General features: G+C 39.8%; 1 protein-coding gene and 1 long non-coding RNA gene across 8 annotated transcripts in view; one reads left to right on the forward strand and one right to left on the reverse strand.

The window, feature by feature from the left end:
- The window catches only part of GPR84-AS1 (GPR84, ZNF385A, ITGA5 and GTSF1 antisense RNA 1), a 113,340-nt gene extending 100,912 nt beyond the window's left edge, over positions 1–12,428 (forward strand). For both annotated transcript variants that reach the window (NR_120486.1, NR_120487.1), the window contains exon 4: positions 12,239–12,428. This is a non-coding gene — a long non-coding RNA (GPR84, ZNF385A, ITGA5 and GTSF1 antisense RNA 1). The remainder of the gene's footprint in view (positions 1–12,238) is intronic.
- Positions 1,355–19,000, reverse strand: GTSF1 (gametocyte specific factor 1). Of its 6 annotated transcripts, none has more exons than XM_017018800.3 (9): positions 18,960–19,000; positions 16,631–16,675; positions 10,465–10,565; positions 8,569–8,695; positions 8,040–8,123; positions 7,507–7,570; positions 5,775–5,869; positions 4,487–4,523; positions 1,355–1,551 (listed from the first exon to the last, which is right to left on the reverse strand). In XM_017018800.3, exons 2-8 carry the CDS (start codon positions 16,644–16,646, stop codon positions 4,507–4,509), a joined length of 504 nt encoding a protein of 167 aa, XP_016874289.1. In that variant the 5' UTR covers positions 16,647–16,675; positions 18,960–19,000; the 3' UTR covers positions 1,355–1,551; positions 4,487–4,506. The 6 variants fall into 6 exon arrangements, 3 of the variants coding, with proteins under 3 accessions (XP_016874289.1, NP_653195.2, XP_024304602.1); NM_144594.3 differs by having other exon boundaries at positions 18,944–19,000; XM_024448834.2 differs by lacking the exon at positions 18,960–19,000 and adding an exon at positions 17,542–18,094.

Consider the following 19,041-nt stretch of genomic DNA (forward strand, 5'->3'; position numbering starts at 1 on the left):
CATAAATGACTACCGGAATTAGGGGACATATAGGTGTATTTTTTCCTCCTTAATATACTACCTTTTCCAGGAGAAATAGCCTACTTATTAAGATCACATAGCTGGAAGCAGAAATACTATTGTGCTGGGTCTTATTTTGAACCTGTTTTTAAAGATTGGAGCTAAATGAACAGCTCTGCTTCATTAGGGGGAGAATCCTGTTTTGTGTAAAACTCTTGGAAGGAGGTATTCCACAGGAGTCCACTCCCTCTTTTTAATCTGTCATCTTCAAACCATGCTAGAGAATCTTTTTTGGAAATGTTTCAGTATTCTTCATCCAAGTCCCTATCTATACCAGATCCCAAATGCCTCCCCACCATGCTAGACACTTTTAAAACCAAACCTAACCTGATAAAAACCAAACAAGCTGGGTGCAGTGGCTCATGCCTGTAATCCCAGCACTTTGGGAGGCCAAGGCAGGCGGATCACCTGAGGTCGGGAGTTCGAGACCAGCCTGACCAACATGCAGAAACCCCACCTCTATTAAAAATACAAAATTAGCCGGACATGGTGTCACATGCCTGTAATCCCAGCTACTCAGGAGGCTGAGGCAGGAGAACCACTTGAACCTGGGAGGCAGAGGTTGCAGTGGGCCAAGGTCGCACCATTGCACTCCAGCCTTAGGACCAAGAGTGAAACTCCATCTCAAAAACAAAAAAACAAAAACAAAACTCAAAAATAATCCAAACAAACAAAAAACTGGTCTGGGGAGATTATAAAGTCTCCTTATAAGAATCCACAAGATGCTAGGATAGCCAGAGCTTTGGGTGTTTCAGAAATCTAAGTCGTTACACGCATATCCCAGGGCAGTCAGCAGGGCCTTTACACATTTAAACTCCGAAGCTTAATCAAATTTCACACACAGGTGGAAAGCCCATCTCTTCTCCACAGGTATACTTCCTCCCCTCCATTCCAATCTTAATTCCTACATAATCCACACTTAGATTGACTGCTAGTACAATTTCTAGCTGGAATGTGGGGAGATGAATAAAACTACCCTAGGTTGGATAGGCAGTAAGATGTCCTAAAGACTATAAATAAGAATGGAGTATTTTGCTTTATAAATGTTATCAGTATCTTAGAGAATGGATAAACAGATGCACTGATCAGAAAAAGTCCATTGCTACAAACACTAAAAGGAATTTGGTCCATGTGTGTCAGAGAACACAAATACACAGTTACCTTTTCTAACCCAAGTTTCCTGTCTATTTCAGTTAGATCCTTTAAGAAAACTTTAAATCATTATGGTTCATTAATGTGGAATTGGACATGATCTCTGATCTTGGGGCTGCAGGTACTTGACCAAACTATTAAGCAATCTGTATCAAAGGTTTATTTGGAAGCTTCTGAGTATGAGGGTTCTTGCATTAAATGAGGATTCAAGGGGGGAGGAAAAAAGTGTGCTTGTCAGTTTGGAAAGTCACAGGGAGTTTACCATTCTATAATTAGATTAGGAGGAAAATGAGAACCCACTGGTAGAAGAAGAAGCAACAGTCTTCTAGGGTCTGGCATCTGCAAGTAAATGGAGAAAAAAAAGTTCTTAGTTTTTTTCAATGAAAAAAGCACCAACTACATCTGACAATGGGCCACACAACTATAACCCAATTAAATTATCTTGTTCTGCTGGAGGAATCTGCTGTTGTTGATGGCAGAACACCAAGTACCTTCTGATCTTTAACTCTTTACTACCATTGAGCACAGAGAAACTTGTTAATTGAATTAAAAACATTCTATACAGAAATCAATGTGCACTTCTGTGTCAAGAGTTTTACAAGTGAGGAGAATATCAGGAAATTGATTCATTCATGCAATTCTGGATTAACTCCAATTATCTTGATCTTTTTCTCACATACTGTATTTACTCATTAGTTCAAAAATAGTTTTTAAGCTTTTACAATGTAAATTAGGGGACAAGAATTGGTATGATACTACCTGCTTCTGAGGTACTTATCTAGTAAAAAGTGGAGTTGTTGATAAAAACATAAATAGGATAAAACACATTAAATGCTAAGTGAACAAACCCTTGTCATGTATGTATATTCAAAAACATTTCACTCACACTTAAGTTCCTTAAGGGCATAGTCATATCTTTTATTTCTTTTGTATCCTTCCAAAGAAACTAGAGAATTCTACAACAACAGGCATTGAAAATAATACTTAATGGCCGGGTGTGGTGGCTCCTGCCTGTAATCCTAGCTATTTGGAGGCCAAGGCGGGTGGAACACCTGAGGTCAGGAGTTCGAGACTGGCCTGGCCAACATGGTGAAACACCATCTCTACTAAAAATACAAAAATTAGCCGGGCGTGGTGGCACACACCTGTAATCCCAGCTATTTGGGAGGCTGAGGTAGGAGAATCGCTTGAACCCGGGAGGTGGAGGTTGCAGTGAGCCGAGATTGCGCCACTGCACTCCAGCCTGTGTGACAGGAGCCAGACTCCATCTCAAAAACAAAAAACAAACAAACAAACAAAAACCCAAAACTTCATTTTTATTAAGAGGATAATGTCTGTGGCTGCTTAAGGATTCTTATCTAATCTAATTATTTTTCTGATCCCTCAGGAGTTACACAGAAAAATAAATTTTTAGTGTGTAAGGAGTTTAACCATAAAGAGTTAAGTCCCAAAGGAGAGAAGGGTCTGGTCTTAAGTTATAGACACAGAAATTTCTCCTAGATTTTCATCTTAGAGTAGCCATTTTTACTAGACAGCTATTCATATTGTTTGATCGCCAGACACCTTGTATAGCATATCAGAGAGGAATTCAAAATTCACCATTTATCCAGGTCTGTTCAATGTATGCTTCTCTTCCAACCCCTTTTTTTAGAGACAGGTCTCACTATGTTGCCTAGGCTGGTCTTAAACTCCTGGGCTCAAGCAATCCCCCTGTCTTGGTCTCCCAAAGTGTTGGGATTACAGGTGTGAGCCACTGTGCCCAGCCCTCCCTGCTTTTGTTTAAGACACGAGGTCTCACTATGTTGCTAAGGCTAGAGTACAGTGGCTATTCACAGGCACAGTCATGGTACACTTTATCCTTGATCTCCTGGGCTCAAGTGATCCTCCTGTCTCAGCCTCTCAAGTAGCTGGGATGATAGGTGCATACCACCATACTCAATGTATGCTTTCCTGATGTACCCCAGTGCTGGTGTATCTCTTTTCCTTCTGGGACCAAATCCCATTTTCTGGCTTTCAAATGTATTTAACAATTTGACGTCAGAATCTACTAGGAAAAATGGCTGGTACCTAGAAGCAACTGATAAGTATTATTGTCTATAGCTAAGGGATGTTAACTTTTAGCATCTCTTTTCTGCTTCTTACCAGAAGAAACATCAGTTTTACTACAAAATGAAACTAACTCACAGATTTATCTGTTTCACTGTTCAGAGAGAGTGAACAGACTGGAATGCAAGAGGCCAATTATTCATTAATTCAATGAATATTCACTGAGGGCCTACTAACTGCAAAACAGTTGGGATATAATCCCATTCTCAGCCTTTATAACATTCCCTTTGCCAGAAGCAATGTGTCTGGGCAACCTCAGCCAAGACGACATTTGAAGGATCAAACTTGGCTCTGCCACAGGCACATAGGGTAACCTAAAGGAAAGGCTTCATCTGTGAAAAGTGAGAGAGATTTTGGTCTCTTCACATAGATTTTGTGAGGTTCTGCTAAATCAAATACTCAGATAAGATCGACAGTGTAAAACTCTTAGAAACCCAAAGCTTTTATTTTTTAAATTTTATTTTATTTTTGAGACATAATCTTACTCTGTGGCCCAGACTGGAGTGCAGTGGCATGATCTCGGCTCACTGCAACCTCTGCCTCCCAGTTCAGGCGATTCTCCTGCCTCAGCCTCCCGAGTTGCTGGGATTACAGGCGTGCACCACCACGCCCGGCTAATTTTTGAATTTTTAGTAGAGACAGGGTTTCACCATGTTGGCCAGGCTGGTCTCAAACTCCTGACCTCAAATGGTCTGCCCGCCTTGGTCTCCCCGTGCTGGGATTACAGGCGTGAGCCACTGCACCCGGCCAGAAACCCAAAACTTTTAAGTGCTCATTAAAAAAAGTATGAATTTTTTGATGAGTATTAAACTGTACTGCACAGGGAATGAATTGCAGAGCAGTGAAGCACAGCTCAATGATTAATCTCAGTCCATTAAAAGAGGCATGATAGATCTAGAATGCAACTTTGATAAAAAAAAAAAAGGCAATGTGTACTAATGTTAGAGAAAACAAATTGGCATGTTAACAGAATTCTAATTTAACCAGTAAATGCCTATTCATTAGAGTGTAAAGCCATAACAGAGGCTATATACTTAAAAAACACATGCACACACAAAGCTTTAATTTGGTACCATAATCTGAAAGAAAATTGGACCCAAATTGCTTTATGTCCAGTTAAATCTTGCTACCATCTGAAGAGACAGTGAAATAAAACTGAAACACTTACTTGATGAGATAGGTATTCAGTTACTGTGCATTTCCATCTACAAGTAGAAATATTTCAAAATAAATACACCATGTCAATTGAAATTCACTCCATCCCCTATTCTTACTAAACACAAATGACTTATTCCTGTGTATACTGAATTATAATATAAAAGTAGAAGAATTTAATATTAGTAATCAGATTTCATTCAAGAGCATGGGAAAAGAAAATAGACCTTTACCTACCAAGCCTTTTGACATATAATTTGGTGACTTCATTTTTTGGGAAATGCAAGTATCCAGGGAGAAACGTTTTAAAGTGAATCCTCTAGCCACCTAAAAATTAGCTCAAACAGTAGCACAGACTGAAATCAAGAGAATCTGAATCTAGGGGCAACATTGGAAAAGAAAGTTTGTATTAAGTAAAAATGACAGTATCTTGGGTGTTCTCTATGTGGAAATTTCATTATGACGGTAATATGATACAAATTTAGTACTTGTTTACCCAGCATGACCTCTAAAGTCTGGGGAGGACATCTGAATACCATTCTTTATGCTGGTTCTTATGACTTATGACTTTCATTTTCTCTCTACTCATTTCCTTTTAGGCCCTCACAATCCAATTTCTGATCCCAATTCCCTACTGATATTATGCCTTTTTTTTTTTTTTTTTTTTTTGAGACGGAGTCTCGCTCTGTCGCCCAGGCTGGAGTGCAGTGGCGGGATCTCGGCTCACTGCAAGCTCCGCCTCCCGGGTTCACGCCATTCTCCTGCCTCAGCCTCCCAAGTAGCTGGGACTACAGGCGCCCGCCACTACGCCCGGCTAATTTTTTGTATTTTTAGTAGAGACGGGGTTTCACCGTTTTAGCCGGGATGGTCTCGATCTCCTGACCTCGTGATCCGCCCGCCTCGGCCTCCCAAAGTGCTGGGATTACAGGCGTGAGCCACCGCGCCCGGCCTGATATTATGCCTTGAAAGAAATCAGGGATCACTTCCTCCTAGCCCAAATCATTAACCTTTTTATTGGCTCCCAAATTTTCTCATGGTATTTGACGTCAGTGGTCACCCCATTTTGAAAATATTCTTTTGGCTTCTGTGATCTTATACTTTCCTGTTCATAATTTCTTGCTCCTAACCACGGTCAGTAGGGTGAACTGAGTAAGGTGCTTAGGGCATAACATTTAAGGAGGCACTCACTTTAAGGGTCATGGAAATGCAAGGTGTTCAGACTGAACACATCTGAATAATCAAGATCAACTGTATTTAGCACAATGAAAAGAGTAAAACTATTTTGTCTCTATTTCACTTACTGTTTTTCCATGGCAGAACATACGGCAGAGATTTGGGAACTCGCATGCCTGAAGCCAGGTTATTCTTATGTTCTGTAACTATGTTGCTCGCAGGGCTGCAAAAAGATGAATTTGGCTATGTCGGCAGATCAGTATCATTCAAGCAGGCACACGTAAGATAATCAAAATGTGTTTTTTGTAATTTGGGGAAAAACAACAACCTACATTCATCTGAAATGTAAACACATTTCCATCAAAACGTTCCGGCAATTAGAATGATTACCACTTACTTCTCTGGAAAGCTCCCTGTTCTGTATAGACATTAAGATGGGTCTAACCATTTTCATTTTCTAGAAATTGAGATAAACAGCAATGCCATCTACTGTTCAGCTGTATGACAGGCTCATCAACTCACTCAATAAACGTAAGAGATAAAATAAAGTGCTAAGGCAACCAAACCAAAAGCAGCAAATCTTCAACTGAGGTAAAATTAAAAGTTGTAGCCAACGGAATTCATTTTAAGTTTTTCTATCTTAGTGCACATAAAATAGTATACACTTAAAATTATTTACTGTTCTCAGTAGTTAAAAAGTAAAAATTTGACAAGCATTCTGTTTGGGGAAAAAAGTGAAGTCTAGCATCTTATTCCTTCATTTCCTAAACCAGAAATATTCTCATTTGGGTTTGAAACTTGATCTTCCAAGGTTTGAGTATTGGTGTTAATGAGAAATAGCTTCATTCATTTTTATTTTATTTTGGACAAGGACTCTTTCTGTCACCCAGGCTGGAGTGCAGTGGCATGATCATGGCTCACTGCAGCCTCGACCTCCTGGGCTTAAATGATCCTCTGGTCTCAACTTCCCAAGTAGCTGAGACTATAGGCATCCACCACCATGCCCAGCTTATTTTTTTTTTTTAATTTTTTTGTAGAGACAGGATCTTACTGTGTTACTCATGTTGATCTTGAACTCCTGGCCTCAGCGATCCTCCCACCTTGGCCTCCAGGTATGAGCTACTCTGTGCCTGGCCAGAAATCATCTAGTTTTCAATTAGAGCTGGGCATGAGCAACACTTTGGGAGGCAGAGGGGGGAGGATCACTTGAGGCCAGAAGTTTGAGACCAGCCTGGGCAAAAATAAAGAATTAGCTAGGTGTGGTGGTGGATCCCTATAGTTCTTGCTATTTGAGAGGCCCAGGGGGATCGCTTGAGCCCAGGAGGCAGAGCCTGCAGTGAGCCATGATCATGCCATTACACTCCAGCCTGGTTGACAGAGTCCCTGTCTCTAAAAAAATAAATCAGATACAAAATCAGTGGGAAGAAGAGATGCATATTCTTTCCTAATAGGTACTCTGGATTTTCCAATCTCAAATAAAGAATTTTTAAGACTGCTTTTTCCTATACACTAGTTACCTAAAGTAAAAATGATCCAAGTGGTATAGTGGGAGAATTTTTTCAAAGCATTAAAATAATGTAAACCTAGCAAAAAACATAACTAAGACACATGAAAGTCTGGGGCTACTGTTTCCCTTGCTAAACGATAATGTATTTTTGTATCCCTTATGATTGGCACAAAGCACATGACCTTTTTGAATCAAGGAATAAATATGAAAAAATGCCAAAACAATATCTAGACTAAACTACCATCAAGGAACATCGTTAAAGAAAGTGGTCAATTCATGCTCCGGTGGCTTCTCTTGGTAACAGAACACGCTGATTTTGGGAGACAATGCTGGGATAAGACTATTTCATTTACCTGTTGTTGTCAGAGTAGTGAGTTGTGCCCCAGACAAATGGGGTGCTGGTCTGCTCCCACAAATCTGTTAAAGGAAGCAAAACATAGTTTGTGGTACTACTAGATAAGACACCAGCAGTTCATGTTGGTTGAATTTATAAGATGGGAAATAATACACCTAAGTTTTGCAGAAGCAAGTAAAAATTGATCAAGTGTCCTGCCTAAGTGACACAGTAGCAAGAATTTAATTGAAGAATATAAACACAAGCAACATAAATAATAATAAACGTGCCTACTAACAATCAAACACAGATGGTACAACACAATTTATGGAAAAAAACAGATGTAAAGAAGTGCTTTTTCCAATCAAGAGGGATTGGCTGTTCCACGTGTCTGCACAGCGATACAAATGTGCTCGTTTTGGGGCCCAATAAAAATAATAAGGCATTCTGAACAACATGGTATGTTCATAAAAAAGGAAAATCTTCCTTCTGTCTTAAGCAAATGACTTGAGATTTAGACATTGTGAAGAAAAAGATGTAGAGGCAGCTCACCTTTATCCCAGTCTTCATCGCAAGGAGGGCACTGCCAAGTGCTCTCAGCCAGAGTCTCTTGTCTAAGGCTCCTGGTTTGGTTGACTGCAAGACAATAAAGATTGGATATAAGAGGGGGATATTGCCAAGTTATTGTGTTCAAAGGGGCTAGTAGCTTAAAAGGTTGCAAGGGTAGCCTGTTGGGTCTTTATTTCTGAAAAATGGATAGTATAAAAGCTAAAAGAGGGATCTTATCTCTTTGCTGACAGAAGAAAGAAAAGCAGAAACAAAAATGTTTACCATATTTATGGCAATAAAAGATTTATTTTTAGATGAATTATTAGTAAAATGAACCAGGCTGTTCAGGAGAGAAAACAGTATGACATGTACAATCTGACAACCTATTGCTGCCATGATACAAATCTCAAAGGTGGAAAAGTATTGTTCTTCTAAAACACTGAAAGCCAAAAATCAAGCTGACAATCTAGCATAATACAAATCTGAAGGAGCTACCCTCCAGTACTGAAATATTTTAGATACTAAGTCTTACCAACATCTTGCTCAATACAACTTCTGTCATCACAGCTTGAGATATGATGACTAATTTCAGCTCGAGGAACCTGGTGGCGAGCATTGAAGGGACAAGTAGCCAATTTGCTTGCAACATCAGGATGATTCTGTGGAACCAAAATTAAGGGATCTGTCAGTTCTCTGGATCTACTAAAGTCAACAGGGAGTAGCTAAGCCTTATTCTACAAATGCCTCCCCTAAAATTCCTCAATAAACTTCTGGCTTAACTATAACAAGTAAACTCAGAGTAAAAAACTAAGAGGGAATTATTTATTGTTTTTATAGACAATTACTTCAAAATCATCAAAACATAAGTCTTTTTGTTATGATTGTAGAGACTGACAACACAGATATTGTTAGCTAAACAATGAATTTAGGATTGGGTATTGGAACGACATCTTTCCCCCATTTATTTCTCAGAGTCACATGATTCAGGCAGCACAGCCCGTAATGAGAGAGCTCTCTGGATGTCTTTGAAAGCTGATATTCAAGATGAATAGCAACACTAAAATACACTCTTAGTCTGCATTGCAGTAGTGTCCCTGCTATTGCAATACAATAGTGCTGGAAAATAGCTGTTGGAAGGGAGCCACAGAAGAGGCAAACCAATAATTTTTCAGATTAACACAGTGATGCTTACTTAACGTAATGATGCCTGAAATGAATCTCTGAACAATTTGACCTTCATTTCAGCTATTTCACTAAGGAAAAACCCAAATGATAGAGTCTACTTTGCTGACCAAGTTCCTTATTTTAAAACAAAACAAAGGGTTTAGTATCACCTATATCCTATGGCAAATATACCAGCAATTAAGAAATTTATTAGGAAAAAAAAGATATGTCATAAATGAAACTCGGAAAAGTAAAAATAATATGAAGTAGGGAGAAGTCTGGAAAAATATATAGGTGTGAGAAACTTGCAGGCATCGCCGTCATTTTCATAAGTGGTATCAGGCATTCAATACAAAGGTTTTGTGGCCAAAGATTAAGAACATTAGAAGAAGGGAATTATGATAGTGTCTTTTTTACCACTTGACTCCATTTGGGAAATGTTTGAGAGCCTAGAGGGGACAATGTTGTAGTGGTATCTGCTGATCCATACTGTCCAGGTTTAATGTTAAGGGATCCTTGCTCTCGAGATTAAAAGGAGCTGGAGAAATAACAAAGATACATGATGTTTCCAGGATTACAAGCACTTTTTAAAGGATGTTAAAGCTGAATTGTATGCAGTTTGGATTAAATACCTCAATTGTTTCCCAAGCATAAATTCTAGCAGAATTTTGGCTTCTGTATCAGAATTCTAACAACATTGTCAAAATGTCTCATTTAAGGTAGCATGAAAGTAGTTTATATCAGCTAAGTCTATACAAGAGTGACCAGAAAAAAAATCGTTATTTATTATTTTTTTAAAGATGTTTACTGTTGAAACTTGGAGATACAGTTATTTTTAGGAATAATTTTTCTTGGGCTAACTTCTAGCTGTTCAAGCTCTAAAATTTCTAAACAAAATAATCAGAAAAAGTGAGTTATAGCACTCAATCATTGTTAGGCTCATGAATACATCAAATTTAGAAGATAGGCAGGATTTCTCATTGTTAGCCAAAATTAGTCTGTTTTACAAAGGGTGAGAAGACTCTAGAGATGCTGTTTATAAAGGGTTCTTTGTCACTAGTTAATGGGAAGAAAACCAAAACAAGAAAAAATTTATCCTAAGGAATGAACAAATGCCTTTCTATAAATGTTGGTATTTAAGAGAGGTAGATTCCCAAAACAATTCTGGCAATCAATTAAAACATGATAAAATTATTTGATATTTATAAAATATGGCCTTTTAAAAGAACTCAGGAGGGTGTTAGAGGGCAAATTATGACCCTACCTTTCTGCACTTGATAAGATGATAAGGAAACCTGCAAGCCCTGATTTGATGGTTTTTGTCATAGGGGCATTGCAATAGCTTCTCAGGGTCCAGGGAGTCGGCTGAAAGACAGAAGTGTTTCAGTAGGTAAAACGATAATAGGCCCTTGTAAAACTACAGCATTCCAGGCACACTGGATTTTTTCAAGAGACTCTGTAATAATAGAACAATATAGTCTAAAGAAAACTTGGATTAAAAAAAAAGGGTGACTACACTTTTAAAATATTTCTGAATCTTAGTAAGTTCAGCAGAACCAGAAATCTCAGGGTGAAGTCTCAGTTTCATATTGAACTGAACATATTGTTTTTGTTGCTGGTTACTCTTATTATAAAACAAAAAGTTAAATAAAATGTCATCCTCTTTTCCTTTTCTAAAAGTGCTAATTCAGGGTTATTCCTATTCTCTAGCTAGTCTATCCAGAGCCTCCCAACCAGTATGCTGCAGTTGAAATGGATTTCTAGTGTGCTAATACACTGATTTGGGGGCCCACAACTAGTTCAAGTCATCCCCTACCCCCCATTTCCACAGGCAAGTTGGGGGTAGTAATAGCAAGTAATAGTAATACTTGCTATTACTAGTATCTAGATGAAGATACTAGTAATAGCATCTTCATCTATTACTAGTATCCTGTGACATGAAAAAAGTTGGTAAGCACTGCCCTATATCAGTTATATGTTTTATGGAAGCTTGAAAAATATTAGTGGATAGATTTCTTTTTCATCTGTCTACTTTAACTTACTCCTATAAGTAGTTCCTAATCTTGGTTACTCTAATTACCTCTCAAATGAAACCAATACTGTTATCAGACAGGTAGTTTTTACTTTTCATATTTTGGAACACATGTGAGAACAAAACAGAGAATTCTTTAATCTAGTGACTACTACATTAGCCAGCTAAAAAAATAGGAACAATGTGCAAAAACAGAACCTTCTGAGGTTAAGACAACTGCAGACATATGGAACTGCTGTGTGAAAGAAAGCCCCTAACCTATAAAATGCTATTTAAAACAACCCTTAGGCTATACAAGATGACCAGGCTGTGCCCCAAATTTTAACAAGCCTGGTTAAGGAAGGGAAATTAAATGGTTAAGCACATTCTGGTATATTATGAAGACAAGAGGCAACCTAATAAATTGCTCTTGCCACCCCTGAAGGCAATGATAAAAGTGAAATAAGATAAACAATTCACATTTGATAAGAAGCTTATAAACCAGGAGACTGCTAGGAAAATCAGAAGCCAGTGGGGAATTGAAACAGACAGTTTCACTGGAAGAGTGGTAAACATGGAATAAATTGCCAACCATGATCGTGATGCAAATGAGCCAGAAAGGTGACTTGAAGGACAGAATGAATAGGAAGGAAAAGTCTTAAAGGACAGGCAGGCTTATTATGCTAACCAGGCTCTTCTTGACCAGCAATGTTTCATATTTCCGAAGCTTCAGGACAACCAGGGAGAATTTACAGATGAAATTCTTGTTAGTTTCCCCTGATTTAATCCATTCCCATCACTAGCAAATGTTAGGCCATGTCAGCAGCTGATAGACTGGATGGTACCTTATGATTCATATATATTATACTGCCCATATAGTAGCATATGTCAGAGTTGATAATGAGAGCTTCTCATTGTAATGCTTTACTTCCTGGTCTCCAGCACTTTAGGTCAACTTTAACCTGGCTTTCTAGATTAAAAAAATTTTTTTGATTTAAAAATCTTTTTTTTTTTTTTTTTTTGACAGAGTCTTATTCTGTTGCCCAGGCTGGAGTGAAGTGGCGCGATCTCGGCCCACTGCAACCTTCACCTCCCGAGTTCGAGCGATTCTTGTGCCTCAGCCCCCGGAGTAGCTGGGACAAAAATCTTTAACTGTGATTAAAAACACATATAAAATTTACCATGTTAATGAATTTTAAGTATACAGTTCAGTAGTGTTAAGCATTAATATATTCCTTATTGTTGTGCAACTAGTCTCCAAAAGTTTTTTGTTTTACTAAACTGAAACTCTATACCCATTAACCATCAGCTCTCCATTCCCCACTGCCCCCAGCTCCTGGCAACCACCATTACTTTTTGTTTTGGTGAGTCTGACTAGATACATCATATATGTGAAATCACAGTCTTTTGCTTTTTGTGACTAGCCTATTTCACTTAGCCTAAGGTCCTCAAGGTTTATCCGTGTTATAACATGTGACAGAATTTCCTGTGTGTTTTTTTTGTTTTTTGTTTTTTTTTTTTGAGACGGAGTCTCACTGTTATCCAGGCTGGAGTGCAGTTGCACGATCTTGGCTCACTGCAACCTCCACCGCCTGGGTTCATGTGGTTCTCCTGCCTCAGACTCTTGAGTAGCTGGGATTACAGGCATCCACCACCAAGCTCAGCTAATTTTTGTATTTTTAGTAGAGACGGGGTTTCATCATGTTGGTCAGGTTGGTCTTGAACTCCTGACCTCAGGTGATCCACCTGCCTCGGCCTCCCCAAGTGCTGGGATTACAGGTGTGAGCCACCACATTCGGCCATTTCCTTTATCTTCTGTCTTGCAATTTGCTTTTTTTTCTTTTCACTTAATGTATCTTGGAGTTCCTTCCAAGTCACTACATATAAGAAATATTTCACTGCTGCATATGGATGTATCAAATTTTTGATTTTCTTATTAATGGACATTTACATTGTTTCCAGATTTGTTTTTTTTTTTGAGATGGAGTTTCGTTCTTGTTGCTCAGGCTGGAGTGCAATGGCGAATCTCGGCTCACTGCAACCTCTGCCTCCCGGGTTCAAGTGATTCTCCTGCCTCAGCCTCCCAAATAGCTGGGATTACAGGCACCCGCCACCATGCCTGGCTAATTTTTTTGTATTTTTAGTAGAGACTGGCCAGGCTGGTCTCAAACTCCCGACCTCAGGTGATCCACCTGCCTCAGCCTCCCAAAGTGCTAGGATTACAGGTGTGAGCCACCGCGCCTGGCCCAGTTTTTACTATTATATACAATGCTGTGACTAACAATCTAGTTTATTCTTCTTTTTGCATGTATGAGTATTTCTTTTCTTTTTTGAGACAGGGTCTTGCTCTGTTGCCCAGGCTGGACAGTGCAGTGGTGCGATCTTGGCTCATTGCAACCTCTGCTTCCTGGGTACAAGTGATTCTTGTGCCTCCACCCCGCAAGTAGCTGGGATTACAGGCACACCTGTTTAATTTTTTGTATTTTTAGTAGAGGCAGGGTTTTGCCATGTTGGTCAGGCTGGTCTCAAACTCCTAGCCTCCTGTGATCTGCCCACCTCAGCCTCCCAAAGTGGTGGGATTACAGGCATAAGCCACCGTGCCCGGCCAATGTATGAGTATTTCTCTTGGATAAACACCTAAGAGTATTGCATTGAAGTGTCTGTGCATTAAAAGTTGTAATAAATACTATCAAACTGCTCTACAAATTTTTGTCTGGCTTCCTGGGAATATAATTTACTTTCGAAAACGAAGTAGGTCTATTTGACAAGCTTCCTCTAAAAGCACAGACTCAGCTGTTACTCAGATTTGGGTAGGGACCAGAACCCATGGTGAGAAATGGAGAAAACTTCATGGAAATAAGGAACTAGGCCTGACAAAAGTATCATCAGCTAAGAGGTACAGTCCAAAGAGAGAAGACAGAGATGTTCAGGAATCTGTAAGATTAAGCTGGAAATCCAGGTCAATTTGGGAAACTATAGTCTAAGGCAGTGTTTCTCAAACTTTAACTTACTCTCCAGGTGTTACATCACTTAGGGACTGTGTTAAAGTGCTGATTCTGATTCAGTAGGTCTGGGATGAGCGCTGAGATTGTCCATTTCCAACACACTCCCAGGTGATATTTAAGAAAAAAAAAATGTGGCTGAAAAAAGTAACGAAGAAGTAAGAGACAGAAAGGGGAGATGTTGTTTTCTAATTTAATAGACAGTAGTATGCTTCCAAGAATAAGTGTATATATACCATACAGGGACTTCACATTCTTCTTCTTTTTTCTTTTAATTTTTTTGAGACGGAGTCTCGGTCTGTCGCCAGGCTGGAGTGCAGTGGCGTGATCTTGGTTTACTGCAACCTCCACCTCCTGGGTCCAAGCAATTCTCCTGCCTCAGCCTCCCGAGTAGCTGGGACTACAGGTGAGTGCCACCAGGCCCAGCTAATTTTTGTATTTTTAGTAGAGACGGGGTTTCACTATGTTGGGCAGGATGGTCTTGATCTTTTCACCTTGTGATCCACCTGCCTTGGCCTCCCAAAGTGTTGGGATTACGGGCCTGAACCACCGCACCCAGCCTTCTTTTTTCTTTTTAAGAGACAGGGTCGGCCAGGCGTAGTGGCTTATGCTTGTAATCCCAGCACTTTTGAGAGGCCAAGGTTGGTGGATCACTTGAGGCCAGGAGTTCGAGACCAGCCTGGCCAACATGGCGAAACCCCATCTCTACTAAAAATATAAAAATTAGCCAGGCGTTGTGGCATGCACCTGTAGTACCAGCTACTCAGGAAGCTGAGGCAGGAGAATCGCTTGAACCCAGGAGGCAGAGGTTGCAGTGAGCTGAGATCATACCACTGCACTCCATCCTGGGTGACAGAGCGAGACTCCTTCTCAAAAAAAAAAAAAAAAAAAAAGACAGGGTCTTGCTCTGTCACCCAGCCTGGGGTGCAGTGGTGTGATCATAGCTCACTGTAACCTCTAACTCCTAGGCTCAAGTGATCCTCCTGCCTCAGCTGCCTGAGTAGCTGGGATTACACGCATGAGCCACCACGCCTGGCTCAGGAATTTCACATCTTAAGTAAAAACACTTTAAGAAGGCTAGGTGTGGTGGCTCACACCTGTAATCCCAGCACTTTGGGAGGCCAAGGCAGGTGGATCACAAGGTCAGGAGTTCAAGACCAGCCTGGCCAACACGGTGAAACCCGGCCGGTCTCTACTAAAAATACAAAAATTAGCTGGGCATGGTGGCACACGCCTATAACCCCAGCTACTCAGGAGGCTGAGGCAGAAGAATTGCTTGAACCCGGGAGGGTGGAAGTTGCAATGAGCCGAGATTGTGCCACTGCACTCCAGCCTGGGTGACAGAGCAAGACTCTGTCTCAAAAGAAAGAAAACAAAAACTTTAAGAAAAATTAAGGGGCAGGGGATCCCTTTTCTCAAGTGTGGTCCTCAGATCAGCATCACCCTGGTAACTTGTTAGAAATGCAAATTCTCAGATACCAGACCTTTTGAATCAGAAAATCTGCAGGTGGGACCCAGCAATCTGGTTCAACAAGCTTTCCAGGTGATTCTGCTGCATGTTAACAAGTTTGAGAACTACTGTGTTCTAGATATTTAATAAAGATTATTTCTATGTAGTTTCTGTATTTTGGAGATATAGCTCTCCACTGGACTCTTCCTAGAGGGTAGAATGGGACTGAAATATCCTTTAGTTGGAACTTTTAATTATAATGAGATTCTGAACAAGACAGCAAAGTAGGAAGAAAAAGTAGGTACTGTTGACAAGTTTTATCCACGGGCATAAACTCAGATATTCCTCAAATTTAGTCAGAGCCTAGAACAGAGCCTGTGGTGTCATGTAGGGTACTAGGTATAAACAATATAGAAGACTCTGGTTCTGACTCTGTCCCTAACTATGTAAACTTGGGCAAAATAATTAATCTAGGTTCTGTTGTCTCTGTTGTAATAGATGATTTTTCAAGTCCCTTTTGGTTCTACACTTGTATGATTCTAGGTGCTGGCTCTGCTTTGATTTCTTGGGCCATCTAAGGTTCCTGGATCACTTGAGAAATAAGAATCCTTCCCAGATTTCTTATCCTAAAAACTAATGTACATCAACATTATTATATATTACTCCTCAAAATAGAAAGTAGAAGTTACTATCCCCGTGTCATACATACAAGAAGGTGAAGTCCTGCCTCATTTAATAGTTTAACAAAGGTGTCCTAACTGTGGCCTTTTCAAAGCTTTATGACTTCTCATACCTCTTTTCTTAATTTTCAAGTATCTTATTTCAAATTTGGGCAATACCATAAAGACTTTTCCTCCTTAGCAGTTGAGAAGTCCGACTTCTTCCCAGCACACTAAAAGTCTTGTCAGATATAAAACTATACGTAAATGATTTAACTTATTTTCTAAAAGCAACAAGGAGTACATACTGTAAGTTTCTTCCATGTTGGAAATGAAGAAGCTGAATCCAAGTGCTGGAAAAAACAAAAGTGTGATTCAGGAAATCAGAAATAAAATGTACCAAAAGGTAACCCTAAGAAGTGGAGTCACTTCTGGATTTGAAACTACCCAAGTTCAATATAAGAAACCTTTACTCTCCCCACTCCCCCCAATATTTTCTTCTCTTTAAAGCATTCTTCTTGGAATCATTTTAACATCATGGCCTAATTCACATTCTTGGAATAAATTCTAGGGCCTACCAAATAGTTAAGAAAAACCAAATATGACTCCTATAGTTCAAATTTAAGCTGTATTTGGGTGATAAGATGTCTACCTTAAGTGCTATTACTTAAGTGCCTGTCACTGTTTAGCATCTATTAGGGTTTGACACTATTAATATAATAGTGATTATAATATAAATATCCATATAATATTTAACATTAGAGGGGGCAAGTCAAGACCACAAGAATACTGTCATTTAAACTTATGCATGAGGGCTGGGCGTGGTCGCTCACACCTGTAATCCTAGCACTCTGGGAGGCTGAGGCAGGAGGATCACTTGAAGCCAGGAGTTTGAGACTAGCCTGGCAACAAAGCAAGACTACGTCTCTACAAAAAACAAAACAACCCCCCCCCAAAAACAAACAAACAAACAAACAAAAAAACAAACTTAGCCAGGCATGGGGGCTCATGCCTGTAGTCCCAGCTACTCAGGAGGCAAAGGCAGGCAGATCACTTAAGTCCAGGAGCTATGAGGTTCGTGCCATTGCACTTGGCCTGGACAATGGAGTGAGATCCTGTCTTTAAAAAAACAAAAAACCCCTTATACATAAACACAGAAATAATGTTCTATTATAAAGCTTTCCTCCTGGGTTCTTAAAAATACAGATAGGCAGGTTACCAGTCTTGTTCCTCTCTAGGACCTGGAAATGCTGGAAGTCTTTGACAGACAGTATACACTCAACCCTTCCAATATGCTTGGAAACACTAGTTCACCATTTTCATGACTTTTCTTAAACATGATCAGGAAGGGCCACACTAACATTGTCCCTTTTTCTAGTGAGGTTTCACCTCCTCTCATCCCAATCTTCAGTGCTAAAGTGGCAATACTTTAAGCTTCTCCAATTAATACTCATTCCCTCTATGCACTAAGGGAAAACCTCTCAATGTTAGGACTCAAGAACTGTCCATATTATGGATAACAGAGTCACAAGAGAACAAATCTGTAACAGGAATGTGAAACATTAAAAGAGAAATGGTTTCACAGTTTGAATCCTTTTCTATTAGAAATCTCTTCTATTGAGCACTGAGACTAAATACATTTATTATTGTGGGAAAAACCTGAATTTATATAAAACCATCCCCATACGAAACTTCTGAAAATTGTCTGTCTCTAGAGCATGCTCTCCTTTGGCCCCTCACACAATTCTACACTCCTCACCACCCCTCCCCCCATTCTGTGACATAAGCAGCGTTAGAACCTATGATAGGAAATACAAGTGATCAGCTAGAACTCTAGTTTTTTTGCTACTGAGCCCATTTGTTAATGACAATCATTAGTGAATTTGTCTTAAAAATATTTTTCATATTTATGTTTGGATCAAGAAATCCCCACCGTCTTTTTGTATATATTTCACTTATACATAGTTACTTCATACTTTTTCATTAAAAATAAGAGTTTTGGAAGGAAGAACCAAGTATGTTTCTTGATTTTAAGTGATGAGCACCAGATTCAGCAGCTTGTAGGAAGCCAACCTATTCTTCCCGGACAAAAGGACGAATTACAGTACACTAGGGGCACTGGAATTCACAGTACCATCACTTAGCCGTGTCTGTTTTAAGTATCTTCCGCATCAAACTGTTAACGGGATTCTTTACCTTTTCCCTACTACTAGATCACGGTGAAATAGACAAGCTACGCCGGAAGCAATCAAGTTTAGGGTATGGATGTAGTCGGCGGCTACTGGTTAAACGCTTAACAGAATTCCGGCCTTAGTAAAAGAATCATTTTTCTTCCTTTAAACAACAACAACAACAACAAAATCACAGTAGACTTAATCAATGAGACTAAATAAGAGAAAGTGGGGGAGGTGGTTAACTTAAAAAAAACATAGAAAAGGCGCCAAGGAGGCCCTCGAGTGGGCAATGCAGCGAAACAGGTTGGTAGCCAAAATAGCTGCATTGAGAGCCCACAAGGCTGAAGGCTACCAGCAGAAAAGCGAAATGAGGATATTAGAAGGTGAAGGTATCCCGGTACGCAAAATAGGAATTGCTTAGAGGCGCCCCGGGGTGCCTTTCCTTACCTCGGTGGACACACACCTTCCTCACAGTCACCTTCCTCCCACGCAAGCCCCAGCAACGGCCACTTCCGGCGCCTAACGTTGGGAGGTGGGGCGAGGGG

Source organism: Homo sapiens, chromosome 12 (genome assembly GCF_000001405.40).
Source record: "Homo sapiens chromosome 12, GRCh38.p14 Primary Assembly".
Lineage (NCBI taxonomy): Eukaryota > Metazoa > Chordata > Mammalia > Primates > Hominidae > Homo > Homo sapiens.